The 25,617-nt window shown below is 37.5% G+C and overlaps 1 long non-coding RNA gene across 1 annotated transcript in view; it reads left to right on the forward strand.

Annotated features, from left to right (window-relative positions):
* LOC124901351 (uncharacterized) overlaps nt 1-12,454 on the forward strand; it is a 32,242-nt gene extending 19,788 nt beyond the window's left edge. Inside the window, exons 2-3 of the long non-coding RNA XR_007059656.1 lie at nt 6,169-6,321; nt 11,261-12,454. This is a non-coding gene — a long non-coding RNA (uncharacterized LOC124901351). The remainder of the gene's footprint in view (nt 1-6,168; nt 6,322-11,260) is intronic.

Consider the following 25,617-nt stretch of genomic DNA (forward strand, 5'->3'; position numbering starts at 1 on the left):
CCTCACTATCCTAAGTGTATACACACCCAACACAGAACACTTACTTTCAAAAAGCAAGTTCTTAGAGGCCTACAAAGAAACTTAGACTTTCACACAATTAATAGTGACAGACTTCAACACTCCATTGGCAGTATAAGACAGATCATCAAGACAGAAAATTAATAAAGATATTCAGGACCTGAACTCAATATTGGACCAAATGGATCTGATAGACTTCTACAGAAGTCTCCAGCCCCAAACAACAGAATAGGCATTCCTCTTTTTGCCACATGGCACATACTCTAAAATCAATCACATAATTGGACATGAGACAATCCTCAGCAAATACAAAAGAACTGAAATCATATCAAATGCACTCACAGATCACAGCACAGTAAAAATAAAAATCAAGACAAAAAAATTGCTCAAAACCATGTAATTATGTGGAAATTAAACAATCTTCTCTTGAAAGACTTCTGGGTAAATAATGAAATTAAGGCAGAGATCTGTAAGTTTTTTGAAACTGATGAGAACAAAGATACAATATGCCAGAATCTCTGAGACGCAGCTAAGACAGTGTTAAGAAGAAAATTCATAATATGAAAGGCCCACATCAAAAAGGGATAACGATCTCCAATTAATAACCTAACATCAAAGAACTGGAGAAGCAAGAGCAAACCAACCCCAAAGCTAGCAGAAGACAAGAAATAACCAAAATCAGAGCTGAATTCAAAGAGATCCAGATACAAAAAAATTCAAAACATCAACAGATCCAGTAATTGGCTTGTTTAAAAAATTGAAAAGATAGATAGGCTGCTAGCTAGACTAATAAAAAAAAAAGGAGAGAAGATCCAAATAAACACAATCAGAAATGACAAATGAGATGTTACCACTGACTCCGCAGAAATACAAAGAACCATCAGAGACTACTACGAACACCTCCATGCACACAAAGTAGAAAACCTGGAAGAGATGGATAAATTCCTGAACACATACAACCTTCCAAGACTGAACCAGAAAGAAATTGATTTTCTGGACAGACCAATAACAAGCTCTGTAACTGAATCAGTAATAAATAGCCTACCAACAAATAGAAGCCCAGGACCAGACAGATTCACAGGCATATTCTACTAGATGTACAAAGAAGAGGTGGTATCATTCCTATTGAAACTATACCAAAAAATTGAGGAGAAGGGACTCTTCCCAAACTCATTCTATGAGGTCAGCATTAACCTGATACCAAAACTTGGCAGAGACACAACAAAAAAAGAAAACTTCAGGCCAATATCCTTGAGGAACACTGATGCAAAAATCCTCAACAAAATACTTGCAAACTGAATCCAGCATCACAATTGTACTACAGGGCTACAGTAAACAAAACAGCATGGCACTGGTACAAAAACAGACACATAGACCAATGAAACAGAATAGAGAGCCCATAAATAAGGCCACACACCTACAATCATCTGATCTTTGACAAAGCTGACAAAAACAAGCAATGGAGAAAGGACTCCCTATTCAATAATTAATGCTGGGATAATTGGCTAGCCATATGTAGAAGATTGAAACTGGATCCCTTTCTTATACCACATACAAAAACCAACTCAAGATAGATTAAAGATTTAAATGTAAAACCCGAAACTATAAAAACCCTGTAAGATAACCTAGACAATACCATTCTGGACATAGAAACTGCCAAAGATTACATGACAAAGATGCCAAAAGCAATTGCAACAAATGCAAAAATTGACAAATGGGATGTAATTAAACTTAAGACCTTCTGCACAGCAAAAGAAACTATCAACAGAATAAATGGACAACCTACAGATTGGGAGAAATATTAACAAACTATGCATCTGACAAAGGTCTAATATCCCACATCTATAAGGCACTTAAACAAATTTACAAGAAAAAACCAAGCCCTTTAAAAATTGGGCAAAGAACATAAACAGACACTTTTCAAAGAAGACATACATGTGGTCAATAAGCATATGAAAAAAATGCAATATCACCAAGCATTAGAGATATGCAAATCAAAACCACAATGACATACCATCTCACACCAGTCAGAATGGCTATTGGTAAAAAGTCAAAAAATAACAGATGCTGGTGAGGTTGCAGAGAAAATGGAATGTTTATACACTGTTAGTTGGAGTGTAAATTAGTTTGACCATTGTGGAAAGCAGTGTGGCAATTCCTCAAAGAGCTAAAAACAGAACTACCATTCAACCCAGCAATCCCAATGCTGAGTATATACCCAAAGGAACGTAAATAATTCTACCATGAAGACACGTGGACACACATGTTCATTACAGCACTATTTACAATAGCAAAGACATGGAATCAACCTAAATGCCCATCAGTGGTAGAATGGGTAAAGAAAATGTGGTACACATATGCTATGGAATACTACACAACCATGAAAAATAACAAGATCATGTTCTTTGCAGGAACGTCGATGGAACTGGAGGCCATCATCCTTAACAAACTATTACAGGAACAGAACTGCATGTTCTCACTTATAAGTGGGAGCTAAATGATGAGAAAACGTGGACACAAAGTGGAGAACAACACACTGGGTTCTACTTGAAGTTGAAGGTGGGAGGAGGGAGAGGAACAGAAAAAAGCAACCAATGGGTACGAGGCTTAGTATTTGGGTTATGAAATGGTCTGTACAGCAAATGATGTGAGTTTGCCTATGTGACAGGCCTTCACATGTACCCCTAAACCTGTAGTAAAAGTTAAAAATAATAAATAAATAATATAAAAATAAGTAAATAAAAATAAAAATTAAAAAGAGCAAGAAAGCCTTGCTAGATTATATGGATGTTTCATTTATATTTCTCTTCCCTTATTCATATGGTCTTCCTATCAGTGGAAACTATGGAGAGTCATCCCTTCCTGCAGCATATGCATAGGACTGCACAAACTAGACTAAAAAACATGATAGTGGGCCTGTGGAGATCAGTTTTACTGTTTCTTCCTGTAAGTCTCATGATAGAATCAATGGAGTAAAGGTACAGCATAATGAGGGCTATAAATCATAATATAAAGAGGATATATAGAAATTTGAAAAATCTGCAAGGTTTCTCCTTTTATATGTGGATTTTGGTTAATCCTGATTCCTTTCTTTAAAAAGAAAAAAGAAAAAAAAAAGATTTGTGGTTGCCAGGGGCTAAAGGGGAGGGGAGAAAGTTGAATATGTGAAGTATAGTGGATTTTGTTTGGGTGGTGATAATATTCTGTATGATACTGTAATGGTGGATAAATAACACTATGCTTTTTTTTTTTTTTGACAGAGTTTTGCTCTGTCACCCAAGCTGGAGTGCTATGGCACAATCTCGGCTCACTGCAACCTCCGCCTCCTGGGTTCAAGCAATTCTCTTCCCTCAGCCTCCTGAGTAGCTGGGACTACAGGCATGCGCCACCACGCCCAGCTTTTGTGTGTGTGTGTGTGTGTGTTTTTAGTAGGAACGGGGTTTCACCATGCTGGTCAGGTTGGTCTTGAACTCCTGACCTCAAATGATCCACCCCCCTCTCCACTTCCCAAAGTGCTGGGATTACAGGCATGAGCCACCGTGCCCTGCCGACACTATGCATTTCTCACAACCCATAGGACTTTACAGCAAAGAGTAAACCTTAATGTATGCAAAATTTCCAAAATTATTTTGGAATTTGGAGGGTTCCAGGATGAAATATAGACTGTGACAATATAATCTAATTGTATTTCAAAATGTATAGAACAACCTCACTGAAAGGTGTTGGGATAAAATTTGCTGACCTAAGTCCATTTGAAAATGAGTAATCTGTAAGACTAAAAGAGAAAGGAACAGCACATAGGTAATGTACTGTAGTTGATATAGTTATTTCCCACAGTGTTATGAGTCAACAATTCTGATACTTCTGTGTATGTGTACTAGAATTGAACAATTAAGTAAATGAATGGCAAATAGTGGAAGCCAGGTTTCTTACTATTAAAGTGTAAATTTAAAGGTAAGCAAAGGGAGGAGGCTAGGATGATCCCTATTGTAGTAGATTAGAGTTGGACACACCAACATAAACTCCCGTTTGGCTTAATATAGATGCAAAGAGTTTTACATGTAGATGTTTACAGATGTTCCTGAACTTTGATATTCAGATAATCCCATCATAAATTAAAAATATTGTAAGTCAAAAGTGCATTTTCGACTAAGGTATTTTCAGCTTATAATGGGTTTATCCAGATATAGCCCCACTGTAAGTTGGGGAGCATACTGAATGTGCATGATTTTTTGCACCATGATATAGTTAAAAAATCATCATAAGTCAGGGACTGTCTGTAAATACACAGGTCAGTATACACACATGTATTCCTTTGCCCTGTCAGCTGAGAGGGCTAAGAGTAAATGATACTCTACAGGCAACAAGCACACGTCGCATCCAGATTTTGGTGTTTTTTTGTTTTTTTGTTTTTTTTTTTGAGACAGAGTCTCGCTCTGTCTCCCAGGCTGGAGTGCAGTAGCGTGATCTCTGCTCACTGCAAGCTCCGCCTCCCGGGTTCACGGCATTCTCCTGCCTCAGCCTCCTAAGTATCTGGGACTACAGGCGCCCGCCACCATACCTGGCTAATTTTTTTTGTATTTTTTAGTAGAGACGGGGTTTCACCGTGTTAGCGAGGATGGTCTCGATCTCCTGACCTCGTGATCCGCCCTCCTCGGCCTCCCAAAGTGCTGGGATTACAGGCGTGAGCCACCGCGCCCGGCCCAGATTTTGGTTTTTAATACCATTTTCCAATCTAAGTAACCAGAAATCCTTGAAAAAATAACTAGCTCTAGGACTGGGGCAGGACATGTGTAAGAAGAGCCTGGTATAACTTTCTGTAGTTATGCCAGAAAGTAAGGAAGTACTCAGAGAAACCCCCCCCCCCAATTTTATGGATATGGCAAAGGGATACCGCAACCAAAGCCTAAAGCTGAAACATTTTGAGTAGCAAATTAAGGTAGTATTGCACTGTAGCCCAAAATGTAAAACAAATAGCCATGAACCAAAAAAGGGAGGGAGGGAGCGAGGTGGGGAGGGGAGAAGAAAGAAAGAAGAGATAAATTTCCCTTGCCAAAGAATTCAAAATAATTTATGTAGATACTCCACCTTCAAGGAAGTGGAACATAACACCCCATTCCTTAAATGTAGGCTGCACCCAGTGACTTCTTCCCAAAAAGTGCAGTATGAAAAGAGGGAAAGAAGAGTATCTTTAAAATGGATACACCTGACAAATACTACCTCAATCACATGATCAAGGTCAACATCAACAGTGATAAAAAATGTTGATAGTATGTACCCTTAATATGATTTGATGAAAATAACAGTTTACCTCTGTGGTCTTTCTTCCCCAAATCCACAACCCCAGTCTAATCATGTGAAAACATCAGACAAGTTCCCAAAACATTCTACAAATGTATAATTAATACTCCTAAAAATGATAAAGGTCATCCAAAACAAAGAAAGTCTGAGAAACTGTCATAGCCAAGAGGAGCCTAAGGAAACATGAAAACTAAAATAATATAGTTAGTATTCTGGAGGGGATCCTGGAAACGAAAGGAACATTAGGTAAAATCTATGGAAATTTGAATAAAGTACAGACTCAATATTGGTTCAACAATTGTGACAAATGTACCATCCTAATGTAAGATGGTAATAATAGGGGAAAATGTGTGTGAGGTATATGAGAACTCTTTTATCTTTGCAATTTCTATTTAAATCCAAAACTGTTCTAAAAATGAAGATTATTTTTAAAATCATAAATAATAAATTAAAAGTGAAAAAATAGTTATAACCTTTTGCAGTAATTTCAATTCTGGGAATTTATCTTGAAGATAAATAACTACTATACATTTTACTGTAAAGTAGGTTTAATATATATCTTATTATAAAGTAGGTTTATTAATAGCACCTACAGCATACACATGTTGTAAGGCCTTAAATGAGGTCAGCCATATAAAGTAGTATGAGTACTCAATAAATATTGGTTGCTAGTGTTTTTGTTATTATTCAAAGCTGACTCCGATTCAGGCACAATCATCAAAGAATTGACAGTATAGTAAAGATAAGTAAAAAGATTAGTATAATAAAGTGTAATAAGTGATGATAAATGTCTCTTTACTTACTGTATGACCTTGGCAAATGAATTAATCTCACTGCCTCTGCCTCCAGAACCCAATACATGTAGCAATAATGATGGTATTGACAATATTAACCTCCACAACAACCTTAATGACAACATGAAGGCAGAGATCTGATGGGGTGCACTGAAAACAGAAGAATCTCTTCATTTTGACCGGAGATGTCTGTGGCTTACTAGAAAAGGTAATGGCTAAAAGGTATGCCATAAATAAATATTAACAAATTCATTTGTTCATTCAACAAACATTCACTGAGTATCTATGTATGTTGAATTTGCTGTGTACTTCAGGTGCTATCCTTGCCTTGAAGTTTCTCATAATCTAGAGGGAAAGACAGATACAGCAATACATACAGTAATTTCAACACTTTCAACGCAATGAAATAAGTGCAGTGAATGGCTAAGAGCCCAGATGTTAGTCCTCAAAATCTAGCCAGTGTGGGGAGGAAGTAATCATGGAAGACTTCCCAAAGAGATTATCTATGTGTGCCAGTTGAGGATGGAATAACAGTTCCCATAGTGGAGACATTTAAAAACATAACCTGAAGGTGAGAAGTAGCATGATATGTATATGGAATAAGAAGCAGTTGAATGTTGGTCAAGTTTAAGACAGGGAGTACCAGATGATAGAATTCAGGGATAAAAGCCTTGGGACTTCATGTTGAGGAGCTTGGACTTTTCCTATATACAAACAGTTTAAATGATAATAAACCTAACAGTAATCAGATTATATTTGTAGTTTAGATAATTTTGATTTGATGTTTGAAAGATGAATTTGAGCCGGCAACACTCTTTACAGAGAAACCAGGAAGTTTTTGCAATAGTGCAAGGAAGAGTTGATGAGGCTGTGAACAGTCCATCAGATGCTGAGAAAGTGAAGAGATAGATTTGAAAAGTAACTTGTGGAATTTGAAAACCTGATGAGCATGAAGGAGCAGAAAAAGGAGGACTCAACAGGCGACTCAAACGTGTGTCCAAATCAACTGTTGATTATTCTCCTTTCCCTCCCTGCCATGGATGTGCAGGCGATATTCAAATGAGTCTGGGGATAAGGGTGTGGAAGGCCTTATTTGTAGCATTTGCCAATCTTTATGATACATCATAGATACTCCCTCCATGGCTGATTAAGCCAGGTGTCATTTCATCACTGAATGCAGAGTTGGAAGGATATGCTTGCACTCAGCTCACATGAGCTACTGAGAGTCTGTTCCAGCACACCACTGCTACCCACCACATCTAATTAATTATTCAGACCTACCAGTTACACCTCCAACATATATCATGGGTCTGCATTTCTACTACTTTGGAATAAGCCACCATCATCTGCTGCTTGGACTCCTTATGATGAGTCATTCTGCTCCCAGTCTTGTCCCTCTCTACCAGGACTATCAGATCAAGCCAATCAATCCCATACTTGTATGCTTTAAATGGCTTCCCATCATTTTATAATAAATTATTCACCATCACGACCAAGTCTGTGCACATACTGACTCTTGCCTATTCACACCACCTCCCTCCCCAGGCTGTTCTTCAAACACATTGAACTTTTCCTCACTCTAATCCTTTTATTCGTCATTCCCTCTACCTGGAATATTCTGCTCTGAGCTCTTCTAGTCTCAGCTCATGTGTCACCTCCTCAGAGAAGGCTATTTAAATTGAACTCTACTTGTCATCACCCAGTTTATTTCCTCCACAGTACTTATCATTAGCTAAAATTATCTTGTTTGATTAACTAATTCATAAAGCTTATTATCTTTCTACTGGAATGAAGGCTCCTTGTCTGTCTTAGCCCCTCTGTATCTCCTGTGCCTAGCATCTGGTCTGAGACATTGCTGCTACTCAACAAATATTTGAAGAATGAAAGCATAAATGATACTTATAAGGTTTAACTTGGATGATGAGTAGATAGAAATGTAATCAACCGAAGCAGAGAATGGAAGAATAGATCTGAAGAAACAACTGAGTTTAGAACTTAGATTTCTTTGAAATATTAAGCTGAAGAGTTTATTACACTAAATTTACATTCATATTAATTTTATATGCTGTATTGTATATATTAACTTTTTACCTCTCAGTAATGAATAATATTTTAATTGATAATTTCATAATTTTTACAAGATAGCCAAATAAAATTTTGGCCAGGGAGTAAAAGATGAAGCTGATAAGCATTATTACACTTGAATTTTTCTGGGCTTCTTAATTACATTATTGAAATTTAAAAAATTTTTCAATTATAAAATTAGCAAGTGATACAGTTTCACTTTGTGTCCCCACCCAAATCTCACCTTGAATTGTAATAATCCACACGTGTCATGGGAGGGACCTGGTGGGAGGTAGTTGAGTTGTGGAGGCAGGTTTTTCCCGTGTTATTCTTGTGATAGTGAATAAGTCTCCCAAGAGCTAATGGTTTTTTAAAGGGGAGTTCCCCTGCACATGCTCTCTTGACTGCCATCATGTAAGATGTAACTTTGTTCCTCCTTTGCCTTCCACCATGATTGTGAGGCCTCCCCAGCCATGTGGAACTGTGAGTCAATTAAACCTCTTTCCTTTATGAATTACCCAGTTTTGGGTATGTATTTATTAGCAGCGTGAGAACAGACTAATACAGTAAGTGAATTTAATTTTGAACTGAGAGATTTTATCCTTAATCATTTTGAAACCTGTCTTTCTAGCTACTTGGAAAAACACTCAACCTATTTCAACCATTGTAAAAACTTGTGATTATCTGCAAAGAACATTGAGTTTACTTGAAAACTTTAGTAAATGAATTCCAAGAGGTGCTTTTCTATGTATATTTTCTGTATATTGCTATCTACATTACTATATCCAAGGAAGTCAAAAGGAAGAAAGCAATTTAAATGTCTTGTAATTTATTTTAGAGACCTAATTGTGCAGTTTTTTGCTCTTAGTACCTCACCACACTCTTTAAGGTTAGATCTTTTTTTTTCTGTATGTATATACATAATGTATATATATATTCCTACTTCCTACCTCTCCACCACCCCCACTACCACCTTATTTCCCACTACCCCGTCACTTTTGAGAATTAATCAAGAGTGATTTTCCTACCACATTGCTGCTTTCCACAACTTTTATCTTTTCTTTGAAAACAAATACATCAGTGAATTTCCTATCTGGGGGCAATGGGTATTTTTTGGAGAAAAGTTTTTTGTAAAGTGGAAAGTTTTGTCTGTGGCAGAGCATACATAGGATTAAATTTCAGGAGTTGGCAGTGAAGTAAGATCTAAATGATTATAAAATCTTCGCTAGTTATAAAGCAAAGTAGAAAGTGAAAGAAATATTATTCCCTCATGCTCTACCGAGAAGACCATTTTACTGAGAAACTAAATCAAGTCTGTAAATAATGAGGTCTATCTGGTAGAGCTAACTTACTGATCAGCAAACTCACAAATTTTTATTGCCAAAGGCTAATTAAATTCAGCAGGATTTTCTATATTATTAGTAAGTTTTTGCCCAGAATCATTCAAAAGATTTCCAAATAAGAGATGACATGTGAATTAATGTTGGGCACAACAGCCATAAAATTGTGAAATAATTGGTCCCAGTAAATTTCTGGTTGTGTATATTTATGTATTCCATTTTGATCTAGAATAAATAAGGGTAAGACAAAGGAAAACAACATGTTCTGAGCATTTTACTAGATCCTAGCTAGCAGGTTGGATTTTTTACTTATGAGGATTTTCCTTTAGCATTTTGTCTGTACCAGATCATAGATTTTATGAAGAGCAACTAGGAAGGTACTGTGTTATAATGGAACGCGTCCTGGACTAGAAATCCAGAGACTTCAACTCTATTTTTATCTCTGGCCCTAATGTGCGTGGGCATGTACAAGTCTCTAGTCTCTTTATGGCTCAACTCTATCTGATAAATGAAGATAATGCATTCCCTATCTACATCATATAGTTGTTGTGTGGGTCAAATGAGATAATGAATATTAAAATATATTTAAAGCATGGCATTTTTTTTTTTACCACTGACATAGTTCACTACCAAATTTACCTAAAAATGAGTAAGTTCTCCACTGGAAATTGAAAAACATATTTAAAAGATATATTTCTCTTTTCATTAATAATTGAACTTAGTAACCATATGTAATGTTCTAAAATTTACTTGGCATGTATGAAAGGGAAATAATCATTGATAAGTATTTCTTTCCATGGAGGAAAAATTAAAGTCATCTTATGTATTGTATAGTATATTCTCATGTTGAAAGAATTTCTCCCAATACCAAAATAATATAAAAGAATCATACAGGTTTGACCACCACAAATGTATTTTATCTCTGTCCCCTGAGAGCAAATACTTCTCCCGCTTCTTCCTATATCATGTTTCTTCCCCCTTTTATAGAGGCAGTGTCTCACTTTGTCACCCAGGCTAAAGTACAGTGGCACAATCATAGCTCATGACAGCTTTGAACTCCTGGGCTCAAGTGATCCTCTCACCTCAGCCTCCTGAGTAGATAGGACTACAAGTGCACATCACCACATCCAGCTATTTTAAATTTTTTTTGTAGAGATAGGGTCTAACTATGTTGCCCAGGCTGGTCTTAAACTACTGGCTTCGAGCTATCCTCCCGTCTCAGCCTCCCAAAGTGCTTGGATTACAGGCACGTTCTACCACAGGCAGTGTATATTATGTTTTCTATTCAGATATTATATAGAAGGTGAGGGAAATATATACTTCCTCTATCAAGTGGTCTTAGAAGGAAAGCCCAAGAGGTTCTGCACAGCAATTTTCAGCCTCCCAGAAAAAGCTGACATGGACAACAGCCCCCAAAGGATCCTTGATCTGCACCAGCATTGAGGAGGACAACACAAACAGGTGTTCACGTTTTTGAGGAAATAACTAGGAGAGAAAAGAAAGAAGGCCTTAGCAGAGGATTAAGTCCTATAAAGCAGTAAGAGTTATTTAAGGGTAGGGATTGTATCCTATTCATCCTTGTATCTGTGGTACTAAGAACAGTGTCTGGTAATGAATAGCTCAGTATAGATAACAAATATTAAATTGATGAATGAATGAATGAATAGATGGATGGATAAATAGATACCATAGATGTATGCAGAATAATAATGATCATTAGAAATATTTGCATCTTGTATCTAGATTTTTGGCCACTTTGGAAAAACTAGAAGATTGGCAATAATTGACGGAGTATGTGCGTTCCAGGTCATTGCAGTTTGCCAACCTTACCCCATGTACTCCTGCTCTCTCAGACCTGACCTTGCCACTCCTCTCATTCTTGGAACACTGCTATTACTACATGAAGATTCACATTCCAGCCCATCTTCCCTCATCTAGCACAGTCCTGAGAGACCTGGCCCGTCTTGATCCCTTCCTTTTCTAATGCGTTCCTGGGAAACCAGGTTAGTTCTGGGACTGCCCTGATCCAGTATCTTCCTCATACCTGAGCAAGTGCAGCCTCTTCCTTCAGCTGTAATTTTCATAAATGCACCAACAAATGAATTAATGAACAAATGGTATTTCTGTTACTCGTTGTCTGATGTTCCACACTGCACAATGTAGCATGTAATCCCTAAAGATCCACTCTTATGCCTAACCCTCCTTTGGGACCCAAGGAAATGCTGCTTCCAGCCTCTTGTCTTGTGTCCTTTGGAACAAAAGGCAGTTGCATCCATGATGGTTTGTGGATTGCACCACCACCGGAGATGGACACTGCTTCCGAGGATTAGAGTGGTAGAAGTGCTTAGGTAAGAGAAAAGACAAGTTACTTGGACATGTTAACATGTCAAGTTCTTCCTCTTACTATTATTCCTAGTTGTGTGGAAAATCCGTTTTGTTGCTTCTCTTTGTGTGTCAATCTGTGGGTCTGAAAGCCTTCAATTAAGATAGTATTTGCAATAGTTGCACATGGCAACGGAGTAATACTTGAAATATTAAAGAATTCATGTTGTGGTCCAATATGGTAACCTTAGCCACGTGTGACTTTTGGGCACCTGAAATGTGTCCAGCTGAGAAGTGTTATAATTGTAAAATATACTTTTGTGTGTTTTTCAATTTTGAAGACAGTATAAAAAAATGCAAAAAATTTTAATATATAGATTAAATAAAATATATTAAAATAAATACTAACAATATGTTAATGTTTTCTTTTAAATTTTTCTAATGTGGAAGAACTTTTAATGTAAAAAATTTAGAAGTTGTATATGTGGCTTGCACTGTATCTATTGGACAATGCTGATCTAGCTATGACATATATAAAATGTGATATTGATTCTTATATTGAAAACTAGATGAACATTTAATGCTAGAATTGTGAATAGTTTTATTTTTATGAAAATATCTAATGTTTTAAATTTTCAAAAATGAATTTTAAAATTTAACTTTAGATAATGTTGATTAAATTTTTGTATATGCATTAGTTTGTATTTTGACTTTTAGTTTAATAAATAATTTTGAATATAAAAAATGACTTTTTGAAAAAACACGAAAAATAATTCTAATTTTATATTTATTATAATTTTTGCTGAAATTTTGTAATTATAATTAATTTTGCTTTATTTGGTTTAAAGATGGGTCTCACTAGATTGCCCAGGCTGGATTACAGTGGCTATTCATAGGCACAATCATAGCAAACTTCAGCCTTGAACTCCTGCACTCAAAGGGTCCTCCTGCCTCAGCCTCCACAGTAGTTGGAACTACAGGCTGGTGGCACCTTGCCTGGTTACAATTAATTTTTAGCCCTGGCCAGGCATGGTGTCTCATCTCTGTAATCCCAGCACTTTGGGAGGCCAAGGCAGGTGGATCATCTGAAGTTAGGAGTTTGAGACCAGCTTGACCAACATGGTGAAACCCATGTCTACTGAGAAAATACAAAATTATACGGGCATAGTGGTACATGCCTGTAATCCCAGCTACTTGGGAGGCTGAAGCAGGAGAATTGCTTGAACCCTGAAGGTGGAGGTTGCAGTGAGCTGAGATCGCACCATTGCACTCCAGCCTGAGCAACAAGAGCAAAACTCCATCTCAAAAATAAATAAATAAATAAAAATTTTTAGTCCTTTAGGTTAGTACTCTCAATAGAACATAAATTGTCTGAAAGTCTTAATTAACACAACATAATAAGTGATATTTTTCTAATGAAAGTAAGAAAAATAAATGTATGAAATAAATCAATTTATAAATAACTTATAAATTATATTGTTTCATGTTATAATTCAAAAATGATTGGCTTATCAACAGAAATCCCAGCTGAACATGGGGGCTCATGAGTTTAAGACCAGTCTGGATGACATAGTGAGACCCCTCTCTCCACAAAAAATGAAAAAGCTTGGTGTGGTGGCATGTGCCTATAGTCCTAGCTACTTGGGAGGCTGAGGTGGGAAGATCACTTGAGTCCAGGAGTTCAAGGTTATAGTGAGTCACTGCACTCCAGCCGAGGTGAAAGAACAAGACCTTGTCTCAAAAAAAAAAAAAAAAAAAAAATCCCAAAAATAGAGTAATAATTAAATTCAAATAACTTTTCTTTTTTGCCAACTATCAATAACATGAAACTGTAGTGTCAAACATGTATTTCAATTTTGTTATTACAGATGTACCATTATTGCACAGAAGGAGAGAACATATTTAATATTACAGCTCGTTTACATGACATTTAAATATTTAGACAAATAGTATATGGACCTCTATTTGCACTATTGCCCTGGATCTCACAAATGTTAGGATGGATCTTTTCTGATCATAAGCGGGGCCCATGGTAACCAGAAAGTTTTCAGTGAAACAAGATGTTCTCCATGGAATTGCATCACAGCTGAAGCTTCCATGGCTTTTGAGGATCCCTCAGAGCTGACAGTGTTGGTATGGCCTCTCAAGGTCTGTGTGAAACAAAATACAGTCTCTCTCCTAACCCATCTGTATTTTTACTCCTAAGCCTGGTAGGAAAGGGATGGACCTAGGAAATAGGTGGGAAAGAGAATGAACCTGACAACATCCTTGCATATATGTCTCCTTACTTCTGCCCTTTCCTGGGTGAATTAAATAGCCTGGTTGAAAATTGCTGAGACAGATTTAAAGAAGCTCAAAGCTTCTGCAATATATGCAATATAATAGCTGTGGTGCCAGCTTTTGGTAGAAACTGGGTCAAAGGGTGGAGTAGGTAGAAGCGATGCTCTTCAAAAGCTACATCTGCCAACGGAACTACGATCGAAGAGACTTTTGGAGAGTACAAAGGAAAGTTGTAAGCTGAGTTGTTTATTAGGTTGATTCTCATTATTTTAATAATACATGAAAAGGGTCAACCCTAAAATGTATCAATCCAATATGGATAAATACTGTGAATTATACCTATCTATGGACAAGCTTTACTCACCTCTGGAAATTTATGTCTATTTTCAATGACAGAAACTGTAGAGCTGTGAATAACCATTTGATAAGAAATAAAAATGCACTGGGAAGCAAAAGTCCAGAATTCTATTTCTAGTGTTGGTATATCCAAGCCATATACCCCCAGGGCAAATCACTAAACTGGTCTAGGCTTCAATCTCCTACCTGCACACTGCTGAAAGAAAAAATTGTGCTGCCTATCTCATAGACTGATATGAGGATCAAATGGGACCATTTAAGTGAAAGCACTTTGAAAATTGTAAAGTGGTTTACAAATATAAAACATTGTCATTTTTTGTTTCACTCTGTGATATTTCCTTCAGGAAGTTAGGACTGATTACTATTGTTACTATTACCATTATATATTGATATGAGTTTATTTGATGTGATTATATAATAAGATATATATTTTTTAAATGACTATAATTTTGAATTCTAATTCACCAACTATCAAATAGCAAAACTTTGTTAATGTATTGTCCCAGAGATCCTTGTTTTTTAAAACCTCATCTATTTTACTCACTAATATAGGAATGCTGTTTTCCCTTGAATTCCTATTACTCTTTCCCTCACCTTTGATTTTTAAAATTCAAATCGTTTATTTTCTACAAGATACTTATGTTGTCAAAATAAATATTACCATTTTATCATTGTTTGCTTTTCTTCTGTCTCTCCATCCTGCACTCATCTACAGTGATGATGGAGAAGGAGCTTCTTAGTTTTTCTCAGCCTGCTTGATTTTAGAGGAAAGGCACCCTCGTTGCCCCCTTCTTTGCCCCAGAGGCACCTGTGGGTTCTGACAGGACTAGTCCAGTTGTTGGACACTCCCTGGGCAGCCTTTCCCTATCAGATAAAGCAGGGAGTGAGCCTCTGACAGGTACATCTGTCACTATCCTGTGTGTCCATGGCGCAAGTGGAACTCTAATCAGACTAATGTTGTGCAAAGACTTTGTGTGGGCGACGTCTATCCTCCACCCCAGATGAATGACTTACTGCATCTGTGTGCTCAAAGCAAATGAAACTCTTACATACCTTTGAAATAAAAGAGAACAATATGAAAGTATTAGGACATTGGTCCTATCACAAAAGATGCACATTTCATTATGTGAAAAGGAAACTTCAGGCCTCAACGTATTAGATAAAATAAGGTATTTTTTATCGCTAACTCAGGAAAGATTTTGAACCTTTTTGTATTCAGGTGGCAAGTAATTCAGGCCCCTCATAGAAGATACCATTAAAATATAATTTAAAATAGGAAAGAGAAACACATACATATTAGAAAAGGCTTTGACCATTCCTCGCCTTCTATTTAATCTGCAGAAATTATTTTAGAATCTCAGAATGCTATTTAGCTTTATTATCACAGCTCTATGTTAGTAAAGTTAATTGCGTGTGTGTTTTAGTTGTTATAAATGTTCTGTAGAGATTCATGTTAATTACATTTTGAGAAATATTATTTGCAAACAGGTGGCCGGTTACTTTATATTTCCTTTCTGCGGAGTCAAAGGGTGGCATGACGACTAAAGGAGCTGGCTTACTTCTGGGGGCACTCAGAAGGCCACACCTTCAGCACAGGTACTATGAGCCTTCTGATGATTCCCGTCACTGAACGTGGACCAAAGCAGCAGAGCCCCTGAAAATGTCCTGGCATTTCAGCAGAAAACAGTGTGAGCAAATGATTAATGACTGGGGTCTTCCTGAGTCTTAGTGATACATGAGGTGCAAGGTACAGCCTTGGGCTGGTGGAGCCTCAATTACTACTAAATTTCTCAATAGCCTATAGGAACAGGGCATGGAGTTGGATTTCAAGTGATTTACAGATTATAAACAAATATGATGGTTCTTGAACTTTTGAATTTGTGAACTGAGGTTCTGCTATTTTTATGTTATGGCATTCAACATACAAATTTACAAACTGAACAAGGCTTAGAGGTAATTAATTATTAACTCTTAGCTTGAACAAGAGGTTACTTTTCTGCCGACCTTAGAATGGTTAGGTTCACAGATATATAATAACAATCTTCATTTTTTCCCTTGTCCTTTAATTGTAAAAACAGAGTAGCAAAATATACAAATTAAACTTTATTTAGAAAAAGCATCACAATTTCATCATCCAAAAGCAACAACTATTTTAATGATTTATATATCCTGTCATTCTATATACTTGTATAATAACAAGTAACCTGTGTTCTCAGTTTGAGGAGTATCATGGAGGAATTTGAGCAGAATTGTCCGAAGCCCAAATTCCTTCTTGTTCTTGGCAGAGTATCTTGTGAGGTGGTTGGCTTCTGTATTCCCTTTCATGGTCTTTAAGTTGCTCCTGCTGCCACCTCATGGCCTCTGCTGCTGTTGGCTGTGTTTATTGCCAAGGGTGTGGGATGGCTTTATGTGGTTTGAAGGTTTGTTACAGCTGAGTTCATTTGAAGATTTTCTTGTGTGTCAAGATAGCAGTTTCAGCTTGAATCTGGGCCCGTCCAAGCATGTCAAGGGAACTTGTGAAGCCAGCCTATTTTCCTGGAACCTGAAGAGCCTATAGGAAAGAGCTTGAGCTTTGTCTCCTGCTTGGGCCACTAGGCATTTTGAATAAATTGTGAGATACCCTGACAGCAGTCTAATTGAAGGAGGGCTGTAGAGTCCTCTGGGAGAGAACTCATCCTAAGGGTGGAAGGTGGGAGCCATAACGAGCCCCCCAGTTTCTTCCCAGAGGAGAATATGGATTCTGAGTATAACTTTGTGACTGTGATTCATATCTGTTCCCAGCCAAATTCCATAGATTCATGTGTGGGTCCTAGGCAAACTGAGAGCCATAGGTAAAAACTGAAAAAACATTCAGTGAACACTATAAAATATTAAGGCACACACGCACACATAGTGCACTGTTTTTAACGCCTCAGATTAAAAGTTACAAGGGAGAGAGAGGTAACTACAGCAGAGTGTTTGCCATAGATCACCGAGCTTTATTGCTGTGAAATTTTCAGAAATGCATGGAGTGTGGTAAAGTCCTTTGTGGTCAGTGGAGCAGCAGTGGAGGGTTTGCTGAAGAATGGTATGATTGGAAGAACAGGACCTAGAAGAGTAATAGTGATCTTTGGAGGATAAATGTGGTGTCTACAAGGCAGTGAGAGCATTAATAAAGCTAGATTTTTTCTTAATCACAACTGAGACACTCCCTGGGGACTCTCAGAAATGCTGAAGGGGACCAACTTAAGGACTGAGGACAAGCATTATGCAAATAAAGGAAATAAGTCCTGAAATCAGGCAGTCTTCATGTGACCCTGAATGTACCTACAGGCTGGTGAAACCTTGGCAAACTTGCATTTCACTTGCATTTGCCTGGTCCCTCAGAGCAGGCTCTGAACCCACATATGGTGTGTACTGCTACAGTTAACTACTATCTGGTCCAAAGTGTCTGGCCTGGATTTTTTACAGTGTTCCTGGCTTTATAACTCTTGACTGATTATTCTTCTTTCACTTTTATTCAGCACATATTTATTAAGTATGTCCTGTGTGTGTGGAGATACAGTAATGAGCAAAACAAACCTTGATCCAGTCCTTTCAGAAATCTTAGCCTGGTGCACAAGACAGACCAATTCATTGGTTCAACAATTTTTATTAACTATCTACGTTATGGTAGTTAATAAACCATTCAATGTTTTTGGCATAACAATGTATACATAGCAAGGATCTCATTCCAAAGAGCTTATGTGGTAGGGAAGGATAGAAAATAACACATAAATAAATACATGAACAGGATAATTACAGATAGTGATAAGTACTATGAAGGGAATAAGCATGGTGATGTGATGAAGAACAACTGGAATTGGGGACTATTTTAGGTCAGGTAGTTGGGCAAGGCATTGTGGAAGAGGCCACATTTGAACAGGTACCTAAAAGGTAAAAAAAAAAAAAAAAAAGCCAACCACTGAGGATTTGTGGGTAGATGTTCTAGCCAGATGCAACAGTAAGATGAAGGGCTCTTAGGCAGGAAAAATTTCACTGTGTTCAAGGAACTGAGATGAGGCCAGTGAGCTAGAGCTTAGTGAGAAAGGAGAAAAAGTGGAATGAGATGGGCTTGGAGAATTAGAAAGGGCCAAATCAGGCAGGGCCTTTGGTAAACACAGCTTCCTATGTAAGTTACTAGGAAAGCTATGAATGGTTGTAAGCAGGGGCCTATCATGATCCGCGAAACTAAGATGACATGTGATGAGAGCTTTCCTTCCCATTTTTTAATAGCACCCCCACCCTGTGGGCCATTCTTGAGGAACTTAAAATAATTTCCTTAGATCTGGACCTGAGAAAAGGTAGAGTGGCACTACTCAGAAGCTGCCACAAAGCTTACCCTTTACACTAATGTGTGATGTATCTACCTTGACTCAAATGTCTCAACTCCTGCCTACTCTAGGGGACTTTAGATGGGACACTTCCTGAAACACTGGAGTGGCTTTGGTCTCCTCCTGTCTGCTGAAAAATTTCTTAAATGAGACTAAATCTCCAGTTACTGCTTCTCCTAGGAAGTTTATGAAGGTCAAACTTCTGTTGTCCTGCCTTTCTCCTTAGAAACAACCTAATATTGAGAAATTTGGCAAACGTGATTTATTAGAGTCTCAATAACAGTAATGCAACAGGGAAAATGATAGCAATGTCCTGCAGACCTCATAGAACTCAAAGAAGAGTGTTAAGCAGACAAAAAAGACAATTACAGTACTATGTCATAGCTGCATATTCTCTGACATGAACATGTGAACCACTCCAGAGACTCTCAGAAATAGTAGGGAAATGTGATGTTTTCAAAGAATGTCAAGCTGCATTAGCAGGTAGAGAAGAGTGAGTCACAAACAGGCTAAAATATGGAACACCAGTTCATCTTCGAAATATCTTCTAAATATTTTGGAAATATTTGGGGCTGCCCAACGGGATTATTCATTTGTGCTTATTTCACTTTCGTCCATTCACCCATCATTAAACAAATATATACGTGTATGTTCATGTTTGTGTATACGTGTGTGTGTGTGTGCGTATATATAGCTATAACTCTATTATGTGGTGACTGATATATCTATTCTAGTGTACATATGCTATGGAGTGAATGTTTTTGTGTTCCCTAAAACCTAATAACCAATGTGATGGTGTTGGGAGGTGAGGCCTTTAGGAGATAACTGAGTCATGAGGGCTTCATTCTCATGAATGATATTACTGCCTTTATAAAAGAGGTTCCAGAGAGCTTCTTTGCCCATTCCACCATATGAGGACTCAGGGAAAAGGCATCATCTATGAACCAGGAAACAGGCCCTCCCAAGATGCCTAACCTGTTGGTGCCTTGATTTTGGACTTCTCAGCCTCCAAAACTATGAGAAATAAATTTATGTGATTTATAAGCTACTCAGTTGATGGCATTTTGTTATAGTAGCCTGACTGGAGTAACATAATCAATAATACACATGTATGTATATATGTATTATATACATATATATACGTATACATATGTGTATATACATATATACACATATATACATATATACACATACGTATATGTATATATATGTATATAATACATATACTTTTCTAACTATGGTAATTTTCTCTGGTCTGAAGCTGACTTTGATATCAATACAGCCACTTTGTTTTGAATGGAACAAAGTTGGAGAGCTAACAGTAACTGATTTTTTTTTAAAGTCACAGTAAACCAAAACAGCTAAATTTGCTGTAAAGATAGACAAATATATCAGAAGAACAAAATAGAAAGAAAGTACAGGAATAAATCCTTATATATGGAAAAATTATTTTTAACAAAGGTATAAAAGCAATGCAACAGATAAAAGAATTTTCAACAAATGAGATTATAACAATTTTATATCCATGTGCAAAAATAAATTTGGATCATTACTTTATATCCTATATAAAAATTAACTCAGAATGGACCATTAACCTAATTGTAAAATTTGAAACTATAACATTTATAGAAGAAAATCTTTGTAAACTTGAACAAGCAAATATTTATAAGATTTATAAAAGAAAAATTTGGACTTCAGAAAAAAAAATTGCTCTTCAAATGACCCTGTCATCTGAGAATGAAAAGACAAAAAGACAAGCCACAGAATGAAAAAAAAATTTCAAATCACATAACTGATAGTGACTTGTATCCAGATTTTGTATCCACAAAGAACACTCAAAACTCTACAGTAAGGACTCTCAATTATTTTTTAATGTGCAAAAGTTTTGAACAGACACTTCGTCCCCCTCAAAAAATGCCATGGCAAATAAACAGTTGAAAAGATACTCAACATCATTAATAATCAGGATTAGTTAATTAAAAATAAATAAATCAGAATAAATTAAAACCAAAATGAACTACTACACACATATTAGAGTAGCTAAAATTAAAAATGATTAACCACACTAAGTGTAAGAGAGGATGTGGAAGAACTGTAACTTATACACTGCTAGTGGATGGAATGTAGACCAATTACAACTGTGATGGTTAATACTGAGTATCAACTTGATTGGATTGAAGGATACAAAGTATTGATCTTGGGTGTGTCTGTGAGGGTGTTGGCAAAGGAGATTAACATCTGAGTCAGTGGTCTGGGAAAGGCAGGCCCACCCTTAATCTTCGTGGGCACAATCTAATCAGATGCCAGCACAGCTAGAATATAAGCGAGCAGAAAAATGTGATCTTGCTGCTCAGCCTGCAGACGGCTAATTGTGGCTTGTGATCATGTGAGTTAATACTTAATAAACTCCCCTTTATATATATAATATAATATAATACAATATGAATATATATATAATATATTATATAAGCGAGCAGAAAAATGTGATCTTGCTCCTCAGCCTGCAGATGGCCAATTGTGGGAACTTGTGATCATGTGAGTTAATAATAAACTCCCCTTCATATATATATATATATAGTTCTGTCTCTCTAGAGAACCCTGACTAATACAACAACCACTTTAGAAAACAATTTGTCAGTTTCTTCAAAAGTTGCATATACACCTAGCAGAAGATACAGCCATTCCACTCCTAGGTATTTACTCAAGAGAAGAGGAAACATAGTCCTTAAAATAATTTATATGAATGTTCTTAACAGCTTTACTTGTAATCACACCAAACTGAAAACAATCCAAGTGTGCATCAACAGGTAAAGAGTACATAGATGAACAGATCATGATATAACCATAAAGTGGAATACTACATAGCAATACAATGGAATGGACTATTTGTACATGCAACACCATCAATGAATCTCAAAATAATTATGCTGAGTGAAAGAGCCATATGAAAAAGAATACATATTACATGATTCCGTTTATATGAAATTATAGGAAATATAAGCTAAGGTATACTAACAGCAGCCTAGTGGCTCCCTGGAGGCACAAGGGAGAAGATTGTTTGGGAGGGAGAGATAAGAAAAGGACACAAAGAAACATTTTTGAGGGGATGATGGATATGTTCACTATCTTGATTGTGGTTTTAGTTTTATGGCTGTATACATACGTCAAAACTTATCAAATTGTTCAATTTAAATATGTATAGTTTGCTGTATACAATGCCTGAATAAAACTATTTTTAAATTGTGCATAACTTATATATTTATTTTTTCCTCCAAAAAGATACTATTAAATTGACATACATTATTAAGGAACAAACATCATATAACCTAAAACATATGGCTTATAACTTCAACCACAATAACCAGCCTAGTCAGTCCTTTACACACTGCCCTTCTGTTCTCCTTACCCTACCACATGTGCACATAATGCAAAATTCTGTACTTCTTTGTTTCAACCCAACATGCTAGAAAAAAGACTATAAAACTCTGAGCGATGGTTTCCATTGGTGACTCTCCCCCATTGCATCCCCAGCTATAGGTTTTGGTGTGTCAGTCCTGACAGTCTGAAGGTGTTTACAAAATATCTTTGTGATAGTATTCAGTCCTTCATACAGTTCATGGCACAAGGAACTCCAGAAAAGTAGTGACTTGGCCAAGAACTACAGTGAGAAACTAAGTATCTGACCTCTAGGCCTTGGATCTTTTTCTAAGATCCAGAGTCAAGTGTGCAGAGACAGTGTAATGAGGGAACCTAACCTAGTACATCTTCTCTGAGGAAAAGATCTGAAACAGAGACTTGTTGAAGAACAAAGGGAACTAGAGGGCACTGGAGAATGAGGAAGATTATCCCAGGTGGAAGGAACTGTGTATAGAAAAGATGCCTGTTGGAGGAACCAGAAGTCCAGTGTAGCTACAGCATATGTGCTAAAACACAGTGAATAGCCTTGGAAGACTGCTGTAAAATGTAGCTCAAGAGGGAGGTAAGGACCAGATCATATAGCCTCATAGCCTGAATTAAGAATATCATGCTTAAAGAATAGGAAACCACCAAAGACTTTGTCTGATTTATCCCTTTTAAAAGATAATTTGAAAGCAAATAAGAGTAAATGTGAAAAGACAAATTGGAGAAGCATTGCTATCATTCTTGTTAGGAAGAGATTATGATGGCTTCATCAGAGTAATTACAGAGAAAAGGAGAAATGTATGTGGAGTCAAGGAACATAGGAAAATAAATTAAAATAACTCAGTATTAATTTAGGACCTCTCAAAAAGGGAGGAGTTTTGCGGATAGCATTAAAATCAGGACCAGAGGAGTACTTTTGAATTGTTTCCTTTTCAGGTTTGTTAGATTTCTGGTACATTCTTGGCCCATGCACAACATCTGCATAGTGCTTATCTATACATCTGCATAGTAGCTAATAAATATTATTTAGGAACAGTCAGCTCTCAGACACTAGACTTATTCTATTACTCTCCCTAGACATCCCTTGTTATAGACTGAATGTGTCTCCCCAAAATTCATATGTTGAAGCCCTAATCCCAATGTGCCTGTGTTTGGAGTTAAGACCTATAAGGAGGAAATTAAGACTAAATGAGGTCATAAGGATGGGGTGCTGGACAAAAGGACTAGTGATCTTACAAGAAGAAGAAGAGGCACCAGAGACATCTCTCACTTTCCACTGTGACACAGAAAGAGAAGGACTCATGAGGACATGGAAAGACTGGGAGGCTGAGGCAGGCAGATCACTTGAGGTCAGGAGTTCGAGACCAGCCTGACTAACATGGTGAAACCCCGTCTCTACTAAAAATACAAAAATTAGCAGGGTGTGGTGGCACGTGTCCGTAATCCCAGCTCCTTGGGAGGCTGAGGCAGGAGAATGGCTTGAACCCGGGAGGCGGAGGTTGCAGTAAGCCAAGATTGCGCCACTGCACTCTAGCTTGGGCAACAAGAGTGAAACTCCTCCTAAAAAAAAAAAAAAAAAAAAAAGATAGAAAAGAAAAGAAAGAAAGAGAAAGAAAAAGAAAGAAAGAAAAGAAAGAAAGAAAAAGAAAGAAAGAAAGAGAAAGAAAGAAAGAAAGAAAAAAGAAAGAAAGAAAGTTAGTTGCCATCTGCAGGCCAAGGAGAAAGGCCTTACCAAAAACTGGCCCTGCTGGCACCTTGACCTTGGGTTTCCAGCCTCCAGAACTGTGTGAAAATAAATTTCTGTTTTTTAAGCCACCCAGTCTGTAATATTTTGTTACGGTAGCTTGAGCTGACTAATACATATCTTTACCCCAAAGACATTTCTTCCCATGTCTATTTGGTTCATCTGAAATTTTGATTAGTCTAGGTAAACTAAGAAGGGTGATATAGGTTGAATGTCTGTCCTCTCCAAATCTCATGCTGAAATGTAATTCCCAATATTGGAGGTGAGGCATAGTGGGAAGTATTGGATCATGGGGGTGATCCTACATAAATGGCTTAGTGTCATACCCCTGGTGATGAGTGAGTTCTCGCTCAGTTAGTTCATGTGAGATCAGCTGTTTAAAAAGAGTCTGGAACCTCCCCCTTCTCTTGCTTATGCTCTTGCCATGTGACATGCTGGCTCCCCATCACCTTCTGCCATGATTGGAAATTTCCTGAGGCCCTCAGCAGAAACCGAGCAGATGCTGGCACCATGCTTTTCATGCAGCCTGCAGAACCATGAGCCAATTAAACCTCTTTCTTCTTTCTTTTATGTTGTTGTTGTTGTTGTTGAGACGAAGTCTTTCTCTGTCGCTCAGAATGCCACTTGGCATGATCTCGGCTAACTGCAACCTCCACCTCTTGGATTCAAGTGATTCTCTTGCCTCAGCCTCCCAAGCAGCCAGGACTACAGGCGTGTGCCACCACACCCTGCTATTTTTTTATTTTTAGTAGAGACGGGGTTTCACCATGTTAGCCAGGCTGGTCTCAAACTCCTGAGCTCAAGAAATCCATCTGCCTTGGCCTCACAAAGTGCTAGGATTACAGGTGTGAGCCACCGTGCCCGGCCCTCTTTTCTTTACAAATTACACAACCTCAAATATTCCTTTATAGCAATGCAAAAACAGCCTAACACAGAAAATTGGTACCAGGAGTGGAGTGTTGCTATAAAAATACCTGAAAATGTGGAAGTGGCTTTGGGACTGGACAACGAGCAGAGAGGTTGGAAGAGTTTGCAGGGCTCAGAAGAAGACACAAAGATGATGGAAAATTTTGAATTCTTAGAGACTGGTTAAATGATTGTGACCAAAATGCTGGTAGAGATAGGGATAGTGAAAACCAGGCTGAGGAGGTCTCAGATGGAAATGAGGAAGTTTTTGGAAACTGGAGTAAAGGTCACCCATGTTATGCCCTAGCAATGAACTTGGCTGCATTGTGTTCATGTCCTAGGGATCTGTGGAAGTTTGAACTTAATAGACTATTTGGCATAAGAAATTTCAAAGCAGCAAAATATTAAAGAGGTCACCGGGCTGCTTCTAGCAATTTATGATCAGGAGCAAATACAAGCAACCACAGGAGCAAAAAACAAGTGACTTAAAGCTGGAAATTACAGTTAAAAGGGAAGCAGAGGCCAGGCATGGTGGCTCACACCTGTAATCCCAGAACTTTGGGAAGCTGAGGAGGGCAGATTGCTTGAGCTCAAGGGTTTGAGAGCAGCCTGGGCAACACAGTGAAACCCCACCTCTACAAAAATACAAAAAAATAGCTGGGCATGGTGGTGCACCTGTGGTCCCATCTATTTAGGAGGCTGAGGCAGCAGGATTGCTTGAGCCCATGAGGAAGTGG

Source organism: Homo sapiens, chromosome 6, assembly GCF_000001405.40.
Source record: "Homo sapiens chromosome 6, GRCh38.p14 Primary Assembly".
Classification (NCBI taxonomy): domain Eukaryota; kingdom Metazoa; phylum Chordata; class Mammalia; order Primates; family Hominidae; genus Homo; species Homo sapiens.